This window comes from Homo sapiens, chromosome X, assembly GCF_000001405.40.
Source record: "Homo sapiens chromosome X, GRCh38.p14 Primary Assembly".
NCBI classification, from domain to species: domain Eukaryota; kingdom Metazoa; phylum Chordata; class Mammalia; order Primates; family Hominidae; genus Homo; species Homo sapiens.
This window is the reverse complement of record NC_000023.11, coordinates 30,684,049-30,698,263: the sequence shown is the minus strand read 5'-3', so window position 1 is coordinate 30,698,263 and position 14,215 is coordinate 30,684,049. Positions and strand designations below refer to the sequence as shown.

The 14,215-nt window shown below is 37.9% G+C and overlaps 1 protein-coding gene across 15 annotated transcripts in view; it reads right to left on the bottom strand.

The window, feature by feature from the left end:
• Positions 1-14,215, bottom strand: part of GK (glycerol kinase) — a 78,040-nt gene that overhangs the window by 33,199 nt on the left and 30,626 nt on the right. For 6 of the 15 annotated variants that reach the window (NR_174369.1, NR_174370.1, NR_174371.1 and 3 more), the window contains 5 exons: positions 7,065-7,141; positions 3,727-3,864; positions 2,113-2,222; positions 1,581-1,647; positions 515-532 (listed from right to left, as the gene is read on the bottom strand). Coding sequence is in view for 8 of the 15 variants with exons in the window: in NM_001205019.2 (NP_001191948.1) it covers positions 515-532; positions 1,581-1,647; positions 2,113-2,222; positions 3,727-3,864; positions 7,065-7,141 (410 nt within the window). In the remaining 7 variants the exon portion in view is untranslated. Of the gene's footprint in view, positions 1-514; positions 533-1,580; positions 1,648-2,112; positions 2,223-3,726; positions 3,865-7,064; positions 7,142-10,647; positions 10,732-14,215 lie in introns of all 15 variants that reach the window. The other 9 variants (NR_174373.1, NR_174372.1, NR_174375.1 and 6 more) reach the window with 3 other exon arrangements.

Sequence of the window (14,215 nt, the reverse complement as noted above, 5' to 3'; positions counted from 1 at the left end):
ACTTTCAAAATTAACAAACTATCAACAGGATCTACTATGTGTGTTCAGGCATGTAAAGTGCTCTTTTTTCTTCAGAGGGAGGGACCTCTGATGCTCCTCCTGGAGCATCCTTGATGAAGCATGCAGAAAAAGTAACAGTGCATTTCCAACTAACTGGTCTGGAAAGGTGGTCAATATATCATTTAAAATAGACATTTCAAACTGTATCTATCTAATTGCCCTATTATGGTAAAGCCCAAAGCACATCACAGTTGTACTTTATGAGAATATCAGAATCTCTCATTCCAGGAAACTACCTTAGTCTTTTATTTTAGAACATTACTCTTTAAAAACAAACAAGATTAAGTTTTTGTAAAAATTAAAATCTGACTAGAGCTTATAATAATTTGGAAGGTCACGGAAATTCTAGATATATATGTTTAGTAAATGGACTTCTGCTTGTCTAAAAATAAATGGAAGTGCACTGTATCTTTTCCAAATGAATGGGTACATAATTGGCGGGCAACCTACTCACCACGCTATGAGAGATTTTCTATAGTCAGCAAGGGGGAGAGAGAAGGATAGAAGCATAATATTTTAAATACAAGAGAAAACTAGGCCAGTTCCACGTTTTTTTTTCTAACCATCCTGTGAAACTATTTCTCAAGCATCGTTTCTTTTTCCTTGACCCAAGTCAGTTTGCAGACAGCTATGAAATGATCAAAGCACTTTTACTGTAGATAAGCAGTGACTATGGCTTCCTTAAGAAATTCTATGTTGCCTTAAAAAGCTTTATTATAAATAAAACAGTTAAAAATTCTTGCTCAAGCTTTATCCAGAGCACTTAGTGTTCATCTATATTATTATTAACTTTGTAAGTGAAGTTTCTCATATCTTTCATGAAATGTCTAAGCAATACTTTTTGTAATTTATCAGACTTATTCCTGAGTCTTATCATAAATTCCAGATTTTTGTGCTCAAACACCAGTGCAAATCCTCCTAGAGGTTTTCATTCCTGATGTTTAACCACAGACTCTTAATGATGCTAGGCACACTTTTGCTGAAGCTATGTCTTTACTGGATTTCAGTGAAATCAAAAGTAAAAATGTCCATTACAGAAACTAGTTTAATTAGCAATCCCAAATCAGAAACAGACTCTTTGCTTTCAGTTTCTTTGCTAAATTTTGCTCAGGCAAAGAATCTAATATATAACATAGCTTGGCCATAAAAAAGATTCAACGGGAAAAAGAACACTACTAAATATGCAGAGTCTCTCCGCTAAATTAAAAGCAGACATCACAACCACTAAACAGTTATTTGGATTCAAAGAATAAATTGGCTCATGCCAACATCTAAAGTTAGAGTATCCCATCAATTCTTTAAAAATAATAATACTCAAAGAAAAACCAATTAAAGTTTATAAATGCAAATCCATTGTAAAAAGGACTGTAAAGTTTTTAAGTCACAAAACATAACACAGTTGACTTTTGAATTATGAATAGTAAACTTGTTTTGTAATAAAAAAACTTTAATTATTAGGTTTTTTTTTGTTTGTTTTTTGGTTTTTTGGTGTGTTTTTTGTTTGTTTGTTTGTTTTTTACCATTAGGCCATAGATCTCAGAAGAACTCCGGACATTTGGAAGAATTTCCATTGGAATTCCAAAAAATCTGAAAAACAAGAAGATTGGGTATTTAACACTGTTTTAAATAGACATCTAGAAACATTTATATGTATTTAAATGCAAAAAGCATAAATAACAATTAGAAATGGATGTTTTTGAGCATGGAGTTAGATAGCAATAAATACGTAAGCCAACAGAACATAGCTGTATTCTTAGATATTTAACATTCTAACTTTATGCAAGCCAATCAATAAAAATTAGAAAGCACACAGAAACCAAAGTACTTTTATAAAGGAACCTAAACTTCCGTGAAGAATAATTAATTTGGCCTGTTTATTATAAATGCAATAATAGTCTCTCTTTAAAAAACACATAACATAGATTTGCATATTGTAGTTGAAATATCAACAGTTAAATTTTGGTGCTCCACTGACATCTGAAAATATTAAGATTTCGGTTATAAATAGGTAGTGTATTGGGAAAACTATATTTAGAGCAAAACAGAACTTACTCGCAGAGTTGTTTATCCCATTCCAAAGAATGAATGTTGAAAAGCATAGTCCTACTTGCATTTGTTACATCTGTACAGTGGACACCTCCATTGACTCCTCCTGTCAAACTCTAGGCAGAGTAAAAAAATCAGGTTAAATTTGTACTTATTGGCAATTTAATTTACATATTGTTAAGGGTCATAATCAGCAGAGCACATAAAGCAAAAGAACGGAACATTACATTTTTTTACCTTCTTTTTTCTGTACTAAGTCTTTGAAATCTGGTGTATATTCCATGCTTACAGCAAACCTCAATTTGATCATGTTTCAAGTGCTCAATAGCCAAATGTGGCTAGTGGCCACCTTATCAGCACAATTCCAGTTACTTGATGGATAAATAAAAAATCGGTTTTGTTTTCATCCTATTATGTTGAGAAAACTCAGAGTCTTATTAAATTCGGCGAGATGAAATAAATGGAAATATCTGCCTCATAAGGATTATTAGAGAATTGTGTGTTGTTGTTATCTCTTTGGTTTTTTTTGTTGTTGCTGTTGTTGTTTAAATAACAATTCGCATTATGCTATCTACACTCACCTAAGCATATATCCTGAAAGGAGAGTTTTAAACTTTCTTTCTCAGGTGTACCCACATGCCTGAACTGAAGGCACTGCTGCTTTCCTTTACATGGAAGCAATAAGAGGTAGGAAAGGAACAAAGGTCAATAAACAGCATCCAGTGGGATATAGCCAAAATGTGCTCCCTTGAGTCTCCTGCAGCTCACAGTTTCCACATCTTGCCTTACTCTGGTTCGATGCAATTGTCAAAGGTACTCATTCAACTGTGACTGACACACGTGAAAATGGCTGGCCATGAACACAAAGCACATTCTGCCCTGGCCAAGCACATGGAGAGGTGAAGAAGGTGCCTCTTTCTGATATGGGTTCTGAAAGACCTGCTCTGTGGATCTGTCAAGTGAGAGTGGGGACAATATTTCCTTGACATTCCCTTGAATGTTAAAAAAGATCATTACATACTTACTGAAATATTTACAAATAAAATGAAATGTCTGGCATTTGTTTTAAAATTATCTGTGGGGAGAAAGAATATGTGAGTATAGTAGAAATAAGATTGGCCATAGGTTGATGATTGCTGTGTATTCAGCTTAGGCAAAAAGATTCTAAATAGAAATTTCCACTATGATTTAGTTTCATATTATGGCTTGATTATACAAGAGACAGTTATGTAATGTTGAAAGCAAAAGATAAAAGTACTCTAGGTATTTTATCCTGCTAAATAGTTATTTCGTCTAAGACATGGCTAGTGGGAAAGGAGTATATAACAGACAATAGGGAAAGGGTATCTAAATTACTCATCCTAAAGATAATAGATATTAGATACAGTTTTGGTAATTATCCTTCATTTTCACTGAAGTAAGACAAGAAAAAATAAAGAGGAAGTAGGCAAAAATGCTTCTCGAATGGAAGCTGAAAACTTCTCCTGTTGCTTTTTGAGTGGTTTTTCTTCATAATGCTGCTAATTAAAAAGTCTGACCTGCTAGTAGAAACAATAGGCAAGGCAGTCTAGAAAAAATTTCTGAAAAAATTCTCCATATATCCATTATATTTAAACATACCCAAATAAGCCATGAATCAATAGTCCCAAAAAGAGCTCGTTTTTCTTCAACGGCCTTTTGAACTTTTCTCACATTGTCAAGGAGCCAACGAAGTTTCACTGCACTGAAGTAAGTGCTAAGTGGAAGGCCTGTCTTGGACTAAAACAGTTGTGAAGTTCAGTTAGCAAATGAAAAGTGTAACAGTTTAAAACAAAACCACCAAACAAAAGAACTCAACAAATCACAAAATATTCAAAGACCCTGAAGGCAATCCCATAGTATTATGAATAAAAATACTTTTCCTGTCTCATGGCACAGGAAAGCATGTTCATGAACAAAGATTAGGGTGACATGTTTACAGTTCAAAGGGCATCCACGTAGCAAGGTAAAGAGAAAATTAAATGACACAACATCCTGTAATTAGATAGTGACAATGTAGATGTTGATTTTTGCAATAAATTAGTATTGTATGTAGAACCTAGCCCAAAACTATGCTGTTTATTTTATATTCCATAAAAATGACATTTAAACTATTAAAAACCAGAGAGTATACCAAATCATAAACTAATGATCATAACCAGAAAACTTTTAAAACAATAAGACTTAATAATATATTTTACATATATACACACACAAGTTCAAATAACATAACATGAAATTAGTAGACACTAAAGTAGAGCTCAAAGACATGCCAAATTAAAGCAACACAGGGCCAGGTGTGGTGGCTCATGCCTGTAATCCCAACACTTTGGGAGGCTGAAGCAGGTGGATCACTTGAGGTTAGGAGCTCGAAACCAACCTGGCCAACATGGTGAAACCCCGTCTCTACTAAAAATATAAAAATTAGCTGGGCATAGTAGCACACACCTGCAATCTCAGCTACTTGGGAAGCTGAGACAAGAGAATCGCTTGAACCTGGGAGGCAGAGGTTGCAGTGAGCTGAGATTGCACCACTGCACTCCAGCCTGGATGACAGAGCGAGACTCTGTCTCAAAAAAAATAAAAAATAAAAAATAAATAAAGCAACACAGAATTACTCTATCTAAAACAGCAGTTGCCTAAATTTAGCAAATATATTAAACAGAGGGAATGTGAACTGAAGAAAGATTAATGGGCAAAAATGAAACACATATGTGCTTACCAATCTTCCTTGAGAATGGGTCAAACCCAACTCATTTGTGGTTAGTATATTAAACACTAAATGTATATAAAGGCTGATTAAAGTTAACTAGTTAAGAAAATACGCCAGGCGTGGTGGCTCATGCCTGTAATCCCAGCACTTTGGGAGGCTGAGGTGGGCGGATCATGAGGTCAGGAGATGGAGACCATCCTGGCTAACATGGTGAAACCCCGTCTCTACTAAAAATACAAAAAATTAGCCAGGCATGGTGGCGGGCACCTGTAGTCCCAGCTACACAGGAGGCTGAGGCAGGAGAATGGCATGAACCCGGGAGGCGGAGCTTGCAGTGAGCCAAGATGACGCCACTGCACTCCAGCCTGGGTGACAGAGCGAGACTCCGTCTCAAAAAAAAAAAAAAAAAAAAAAAGAAAAGAAAAAGAAAATACATACACAAAAATAATGCAACTATGATTCCCCTCCCCATCTGTATTCTTATTTATCACCTAACTACAGAAAGTGATAACTTTTTCCCTCCTATCTCATATGAGTATGGTTTTGTAAGAAAACTCAAACCAAAGGATTTAATACTTTAATGCAACCTGTAAATTAAAAATCTTAACTCAAGGTTTTCTAGCTTTCTTTAAAAAAAAAAAATCAATGCACAAAAATAATGGAAGGAGGCCGGGCGCGGTGGCTCACGTCTGTAAACCCAGCATTTTGGGAGGCTGAGGCGGGCAGATCACCTGAGATCAGGAGTTTGAGGCCAGCCTGGCCACTAAAAATAGAATAAAAATTAGCCGGGCTTGGTGGTGCTTGCCTGTAATCTCAGCCACTGGGGAGGCTGAGGCAGGAGAATCATTTGAACCCAGGAGGCAGAGGTTGCAGTGAGCAGAGATTGTGCCACTGCACTCCAGCCTGGGCAACAGAGTGAGACCCTGTCTCGAAAAAAAAAATGGAAGGAGATATTTTATGGAAATATTATTTAATTTGAAGGAACAAGGGTCATCCCAAAAGATGACCTGGGAAGATCTCACAAAGTCAATAGCGAGGTAGTACATAATATCTTATTTTCATCATGGGGGTAGAAAGTGTAAAAGTTGCCTAAAATGACATCGGAGAGAAAAGCATGCATCCCTCGAAGCAGAGTGCAGCTGGAGGTGAGGATGAGGATTGGGCAGGGTGATGAAGGGAACGGAATAGAAAATGATTTATTCAGGACAAGTCTGAAGTTATTGTGGGGGGACGGAATGGTCAGATTACTGCAATTAATGGGATTTCAACAATAGTTTTAGAAGAAAATGATACAAGCATCCCACTGACAAATAAAAACGGGATAAACAACAACAAAACACAAAAAACAAAAACAGAAAAAGGGAACTTCCTTTTAGACGCTAGAAGAACTTGGCCTTGACCTTGCTAAAAAAAATTCCTCACCTATTTTAAAAATTCACTCTCCCTTCCTTTATGTGAAGAGGGATCTATACAAGGACTGAAAATTAGGCAGTTTTATTAGCCTTCTTCATATGAACAAAGTGGAAGAGGGGTTCAATAAAGGGCTAGAGTGTCTTTTACTTTCTCTCTCCCTGAATCCAGATGCTTAAAAACTCAAAAGCAGCCAGAACATTCTTTGATGGGCAGTAGAAAAAATAGGGATAGATTTGGAAAACATAGTTCAATTATAGAAAGCACCCCTCCCACCAGCACTTTGGGAGGCCGAAGTGGGCGGATCATGAGGTCAGGAGATCGAGACCATCCTGGCTAACACAGTGAAACCCCATCTCTACTAAAAATACAAAAAATTAGCCGGGCATGGTGGCACGTGCCTGTAGTCCCAGCTACTCGGGAGGCTGAGGCAGGAGAATTGCTTGAACCCAGGAGGCAGAGGCTGCGGTGAGCCGAGATCACACCATTGCACTCCAGCCTGGGCAACAAGCATAAAACTCCGTCTCAAAAAAAAAAAAAAAAAAAAAGCACCCCTTGGGAAGTGTGACTTAAGCCACTGGGACGCATTATAATCTCTTCCAGCCTGTCAATTTTGTGTTATTATTGTTCCAATCCACCACAGAGCAAGAAAGACGGGAAGGTAAAGACTTGAGTTGGCCTCAATTATCCGGGAAAAAGATTCTATAAATTGTATCAAATAACTATTGTACCATAAGATGCTTCTTTCTAGTGAAATCTGCAAACTTTTTTTAAAAAAAGAAACATTCTTATAGTATACTTCTGAAGAAATTCTTACCTTGACAAAGTTATTATTTCCTGGAATTCTTTTACTAAGACTCTCAACGGTAGACTGGGTTCTTAGATCAAGCCACACTATAGACCAAAATAAAATAATATACATGAAAAACTTCATTTAAAAAATAAGAACTTACTGAAATCACTATCAAGGATAAAAGACTGATTAGTTTCTATAAGGAATTAAAATTCTATAGCTTTTAAGAGATAGAAATTAGAAAATTAGAAATGAATGGGCATATTGTTAGATAAAAATAAATTTATGAGAGGATTTAAAGCTTTTATGCAAAATTACAGACCAAGTTAGGAGAATAATACAAACCTTAGAGTGCTTATTTTGTATTATTTTTATAGAACAAAACTACAAAAAATATTTGGAATATAGATTTTCTAAGTATACATGAGGCCAGAGAATATCTAAAAGCTAGGCAGGCTAGTTGGTAGCACAAAATGCAAAACCCAGGATCATCATACCATATATAAAGTGTGCATCTTAACAAACTAGGGAGCAATTTGTGACTAAGACAAAGTAGATAACTTGATTCTGTTATTCAGGAAACAAAAGATTCCGTCTGTTATGTATGAAATGCTTATTTACATTGAAATCTTTCCAAGTATGCTAGACCCGGAATCATTAGAATCCTTTTAAAGGCACCATTCTTTCTCTCTGCTGGAGTATAAAAAAAAAAAATCTCCATTTTAATGGATCAACATTATCTTTACTAAGTAGCTATTATCTACTTTCTAACCCCCTGGTGGAAACGATTTCTGTTTTACTTCATGTTAGTAGGCTTGAGGAAGAGGAAACACTAAATAGTACATAAAGTAATTGTGAAAGGCAGCCAATAGAATCAGCTAAGCTTTATTTGCCAGATTTAAGTTTTGTACTTAAACTTCGATAACTTTTAATCTATTTGTGGTCATTTGATATTTTTAGGACACTGACTGCTCAGATACCTCCTGAAAAGACTCAGTTTCATAGTCTATTTAAAGGACTCCAGGGAAGACTATACAAGCTTGCCCACTACCACATATTTGAATGCTAGCAATCATTGTGCAGTTTGGTTAACTCTTCTATATTACTCCATTCTCTTCACTAAAAAGCAGTTATTTCCTGTAGTAAATTTTAATCAATTCTTTCTAATTACTTATGCTGTCATTTCCCTGGAGGGCCCTGCACTTCATTTTGACAGTGGCTACTTTCCACAAGACTTAAACTGGGGACTTCAGGACAAGATACGGGTTTCTGTAGGTGGGAAAAGCAGCAAGAAAAGACTCACCACAACCAAGAAAACAGGAGGGAAAAGAGAAAGACCATGAAAATAGATGGCCTATAATAGATAACATCTGCATTTGCTGCCCAGTATCTACTCCTCCTGCATCTGTTGGGGAGAGGTATTTCGAATTCTTTTTAGGAAATCGTTCCACCCTCACCCTCAGCCATGTAGTGTACCTGAGATTTGATCTTACTCCCAGCTCCAGGAATGGGTCTGGGCCCCAGTGACTGGATCAGGAAACATGTGGTCAAAGAGATTTGTGCTCAGTCTGCAAGAGTCCCTCTTCTCAGCTGACCTTGGCAGTGTGTGGCTTGGGCCTGCTGCCCTCATGAAGTGGGAGTTGAATATGCCACATCAGGAGCCATCCCAGAAAAGGCAGGCTTGAGGGGGATGCAGGTGATACTGTCTGAGTCTGGAATCAAACAGCACCTGAACTTAGCTACCCTTGCACTGCTGCTTCCAAGAGCAAAAGAACTGCCCCCTGCTTTAAACTTCATTTAGTTGAAATAGAATTTTCTATTATTTACACTGTGATTGATACAAGCCATTAGTGACATCATCATGGAGGTGGCAAGATCTCCCATGCCCAGGGAACAAGGGCAGTCTACTTTTACACAGTGGCAGTACTGTATGACTGTGACAAATGTGGACCTTCCTTACAGGTAAGCAATCCTAGCAGGTGTTATTGGCTCACAGAAATAACTAGAAAAAGTAGAAGAATTAGAAAAGTTTTAAATCTATGATAGGTAAAATTAACAAGCACATCTCAATACTCAGTGTTTCAAAATACAGTGAGCTATGAGTTTAAAAATGAATTTAGTGAGTTTTGATTACCTACTTTAAAAATTGAAATAGGATGAATTAGAATGGAAAATATCAGAGTTCAGTGCACTGGGTAAGATAAATATTGATTTGTGAAACTTTTGTTTTAGTTATGTGGATTTGCTGGATCATTATGTAAAATGTAATTCTTACCAAGGGGCATGAACAAATACATTTGAAAGCCACTGCCCCAGGCTTTTTTGGTTAATGACTTAAAATATTCTAGACCGTGTTTTTTCATATTTTAATGGACATAACATTCACAAGGGAGCTTAAAGATGGGCTCCATCCCCATAAATTCTAGGACAGTAGTTCTGGGAATGAGGCCCAGAAATCTGACTTTTAAATAGGTGCCCCATTTTGAGAAACACTGCTAGACTTCACGGCAGTGGTTCTTTCCTATAAAGCATACCAGGACTACCTGGAAAACCTTAAAATTCAGGCCCTACCTTGCATGATTCTGGTTGCAGGTCTAGGCAAGGCCTGAGCTCTGAGCCTCTGTACTTTTGTTAAAAGTGTCTCAAGTAATTCAGTATAATACTAAAACATGAGGACCTGTTTTCTTTCTCTCTCTCTCCCTTTTTTTTTTTTTTTTTTTTTGAGACAGAGTCTCTTTCTGTCACCCAGTCTGGAGTGCAGTGATGCGATCGCGGCTCACTGCAGCCTCCGCCTCCCGGGAGAAACTCTTTTCATCTTTTCAAGAGCATATTCTTTAAAATACTAGGTGTGTTCCAATTATATGTTTAAAAAAATCTAAAGAACCCCCCCGATAATCAGATGGTTCTCCAAGTCCCAGTGGCCCTGTGATTCTATTGCTCCTTGGCAAGGACCACTTAGGCACTTTATTCCTCACTTGAAAGTTTGCAGCTGTGACTGACAATAGTGGTAAACACAGAGTTAAATCCTTACCACAAAGAATCAAAACACTGGATGTGAAATCAGGGAGACCAAAATTCAATGTTTGGCTTTGCCACCAATAAGCTATGTGATTTAGGCAACTCATTTTACCCTTCTTGGTCTGGATTCTCTAAATATAAAATAAGGAGGCTGGACTAGATGGTCTCTAAAGTCTTTCTCCTTCCATTGTTCCATGATCATAGAAACCTGTCATAATAATTACTGTGTTTTTATAGACAGACATTAAGGCAGTTAGAATACATGGAATGCATTAGTAAAACTGCCAAAGAGAAAAATATCAGTGGTTGGTACACTACCAAGCAATTCACAAATGCTCAAAATTAATTGAATTAAGAACAAAAAAATTAGAAAACTTATTAAAGAAGCTAAGATGGCAGAATTAGATTTGCAGAGAGACCAAAAGCCAAAGAGAAGACTCCCAAGCTGGAGGACTAAGCCCCTTGTGTAGGTAATCTCTGAGAACAATCAAAAGGAATGACAGATCCAGATCTGGCAGCAGAAGTCAATTTCCCCCAACATATAGGACTTGGGAGGCTGGGAAGTGAGCAATAGCCAGAGCACCAATACCTGAGGAAGTACCAGGAGCTGGAACTGAAGAGCCAGAGGGAACAACGGCAACTGGAACTGAAGGGCCAGGAGAAACTGGAGCAGCTGGAGCATTAGAAGAAATAAGGGCAATTCACGCTAGAGATGGCCAGGTTCAAGGTCTCTTGTTGACCATTTAGGAAATGGTAGATCACTTGGGCAAGTTTATCAGAATGAACACTTTTTCTACACATTGGTGTAGAAAAAGAAAAGGAAGAGGCAGGGAGCAGAAAGGGAACAAAGGAAGTCCAGTATGAATCTCTGATTCAATAATATTTCCATTTGGATGAAGACCAGGTAAATACCTGCTTCTTGTTTAGGATGACTCTTCTCTATCTGGCAACATATATGCATCCTAATTAGAAAAGTGGCTCAGGTGGTAACTGACTACTCATTCAACCACTAAATTGAAATGATGGATGATGTACTGAGGGAGCACAATCCTAGAGGATGTTAGAAAGGAATGGCAAGGAGCATGCTACAGTCTGTGTTGTGGCCATCTACATTAAGACATGAAAGGGCTGCTTTGGGAAGGCAGGTCCCCAAGAAAGCACTTTCCTGGTAAGATAGCTGGGAGTAAAGGGCACCTTCACAGAAGGGAGCAACGTGTCTAGAGGGAACAGGGGATTGCTAACTTCCAAAGTAATTAGGAAAAAAATAGAAGGAAAATTGATGCTAGGGAGTCCAGAACACTAGACAGCCCACTTCTAGAAGGTATGTCCCTCCCCTTATCTACACCAAGTAAAGCAGAAGTAAATGGTCAAGCCCATCAAATAAGTAAGTTAATAAAAATAACTTGGATGATCTGAACTTATTTGTATTAAATAAAGTCACATCCAATCTGTCTGGTAGATTTAGTTTGTTCTGGAAAAAAAAAGTTTGAAGAGTGAAGATAAATGTAGTTGCCTCAATCCCCATGGGCTAGAGTTAGTGACATAGTAACAAACAGTACAGAGGAATAAATTATTTTTTAAATATTTAGAATAATAAAACCTCATAACTTTCCAGTTTTTCGTTAGTCATGACAATAGAAGGAAAAACAAAATAAAGTAAAAAAAAACCCCACTAAAATCATCTAGCTGATTTCCATTTGACTAGAAACAGGCAAATAATAAATCTTCTCTGAGATGGTCTGTCATGAGCTGCTAGGGTGATAGGAAGTGAGGTGAAGGTGAGGCTCCAGGTTATGGAACACATCCTAAGCACAGACTGCTGACAGTTATACAAAGTGTTATTGGGTTGTTTCTCCCACAAGAGACATGATAGTAAAACAGATTTAGTTATGGCATTTTACTATTTGTCAAAAGCTAAGCTATTAATTAAGCTGGGTAAGTGGTCATTTGCAAGGTGGAAGAGACTATATTGATGGCTGCCCCTCACCTGATGACATTCTCAGAAACAGGTGGGGCCAAAAGTAAAACAGAGTTGGGAAGGAAAGATTGATTTACATATATGCCAAAAGGCGGGGGCTGAAGCCAATTTCAGCTCTTGGGTATAAAATGCCAAAATATCAATGACTGACTTGAGTGTGGGTGATCCTAGGTAGGCTCTGCATTTCCCCTAGGAACACCTATCATGTATAAACCAATCATTTCATCTGGCATTACTGGATGAAAAAGGCTATCAGCCAATTCAGAACAGTGGCCCTAGCTAACAATTACTGAAGCCTTATAGTCCGTCAGGCCCTGGCTTAAGTATCCTACATGGATTAACTCACTGATCTACACCTCAAGTCTATGAGGTCTACACTTTTCATCTCCCCAGTTTAACTGTCAAGGTAACAGGCACAGAATGGTAGGAAGTGGAAAAGCTAGGATCTGAACCCAGAACCTGAATCTAGAATTAAACCTCTAGGTAGGTATAGCCATGATGACGTCACAGTCTTAACGGGATAAAAATAATTATTAAAGATTGGAGAACTCAAAGTTGAAAACTAAGTCAGTTTCTTTTTATTTGGCCAGATTTGAATAATTCAATCACTGCAAAATAAATACAGCAGTATTTCTTTACCCAGGATTGAGGGAGATGTAAGGTTTTCAAAGAATCCTGTAATAATGGAATTTTTTTAACGGAAAATAAGTGGATCTTAATAAAGCTGAAAATTCTAGATTTTACAAAAGTGAAAAACCTTCTCCCACAAAGAACTAATTGAAAAAAAATACTTTTAGCCAGGCGCGGTGGTTCAAGCCTGCAATCCCAGCACTTTGGGAGGCCGAGGCCGGCGGATCACGAGGTCAGGAGATCGAGACCATCCTGGCTAACACGGTGAAACCCCGTCTCTTCTAAAAATACAAAAAAAATTAGCCGGGAGCGGTGGCAGGCGCCTGTAGTCCCAGCTATTCGGGAGGCTGAGGCAGGAGAATGGCGTGAACCCGGGAGGCGGAGCTTGCGGTGAGCCGAGATCGCGCCACTGCACTCTAGCCTGGGCGACAGTGCGAGACTCCGTCTCAAAAAAAAAGAAAAAAAAAAAGAAAAAAAATACTTTATTGTTTAAAGTTAAGTGTGCTTAGGCGTTTTAGGTGGTTTGTCATCTATGGTTTTCTTTTCTGCTGATTCTTTGAAACATAAGCCAGTTCCAGAAAAGATAAAAGGATTGAGCTCAAGGTTCAGATCTCAACTCATGATCACATAGGTTTAATAATTGGCCCAGTATTAACCAGTATGTTAAAAAAATGTAAAAACGATAACCAATCTTTAAAATTGCAACACTCTCCATAAAGAGTTATGTGTGCCATTGGGAACTTTAAATATAACATCTTAGAAAAAAATGTTTGCACTACCATTTAAATATAGAAAAATGTTTCAGGGACAACGAAATATTTTTTGTGGGTGGTTTTCTTTAATATCCTAAAAGTGTTAAGCCAGGGACTCTTGCCTTGCTGGATTAGTCCCTACTGTGAATGCTTTTTTTTTTTTTTTTTTTTTTTTTTTTGAGATGGAGTTTTGCTCTTGTTGCCCAGGCTGGAGTGCAATGGCGCGATCTCAGCTCACTGCAACCTCCGCCTCCCGGGTTCAAGCGATTCTCCCGCCTCAGCCTCCCTAGTAGCTGGGATTACAGGCACGCGCTACCACGCCCAGCTAATTTTTGTATTTTTAGTAGAGACGGGGTTTCTCCATGTTGGTCAGGCTGGTCTCAAACTCCCGACCTCAGGTGATCCGCCCACCTGGGCCTCCCAAAGTGTTGGGATTATAGGCGTGAGCCACCACGCCTGGCCTATGAATGGTATTTTTATATTAAATCAAGAATTGTGCTCTACAGAAAGCTACCAGAGTGAGGGTCATATTGCTCTATACTTACCATACATACCAATCAACTGCAGTGGTGAGTGAGCAAACTTGGCCAATTAGGGGGAAATACAGCTAGGCCATTCTAGTTTGGACAGAACATTTCCCTGGTAGCATCAGTAAAATGTGTGTGTAAACATACTAAACATCACTGATTCAAGCCTTCTCCCGCTTCACATTTTAACTACTTGGGTAGTTTTGTGCTTCTTGGTCAGTTTAGTCTGTGGCTTATTTACTTTTTCAATAATAGAAGACAACCAGTTAT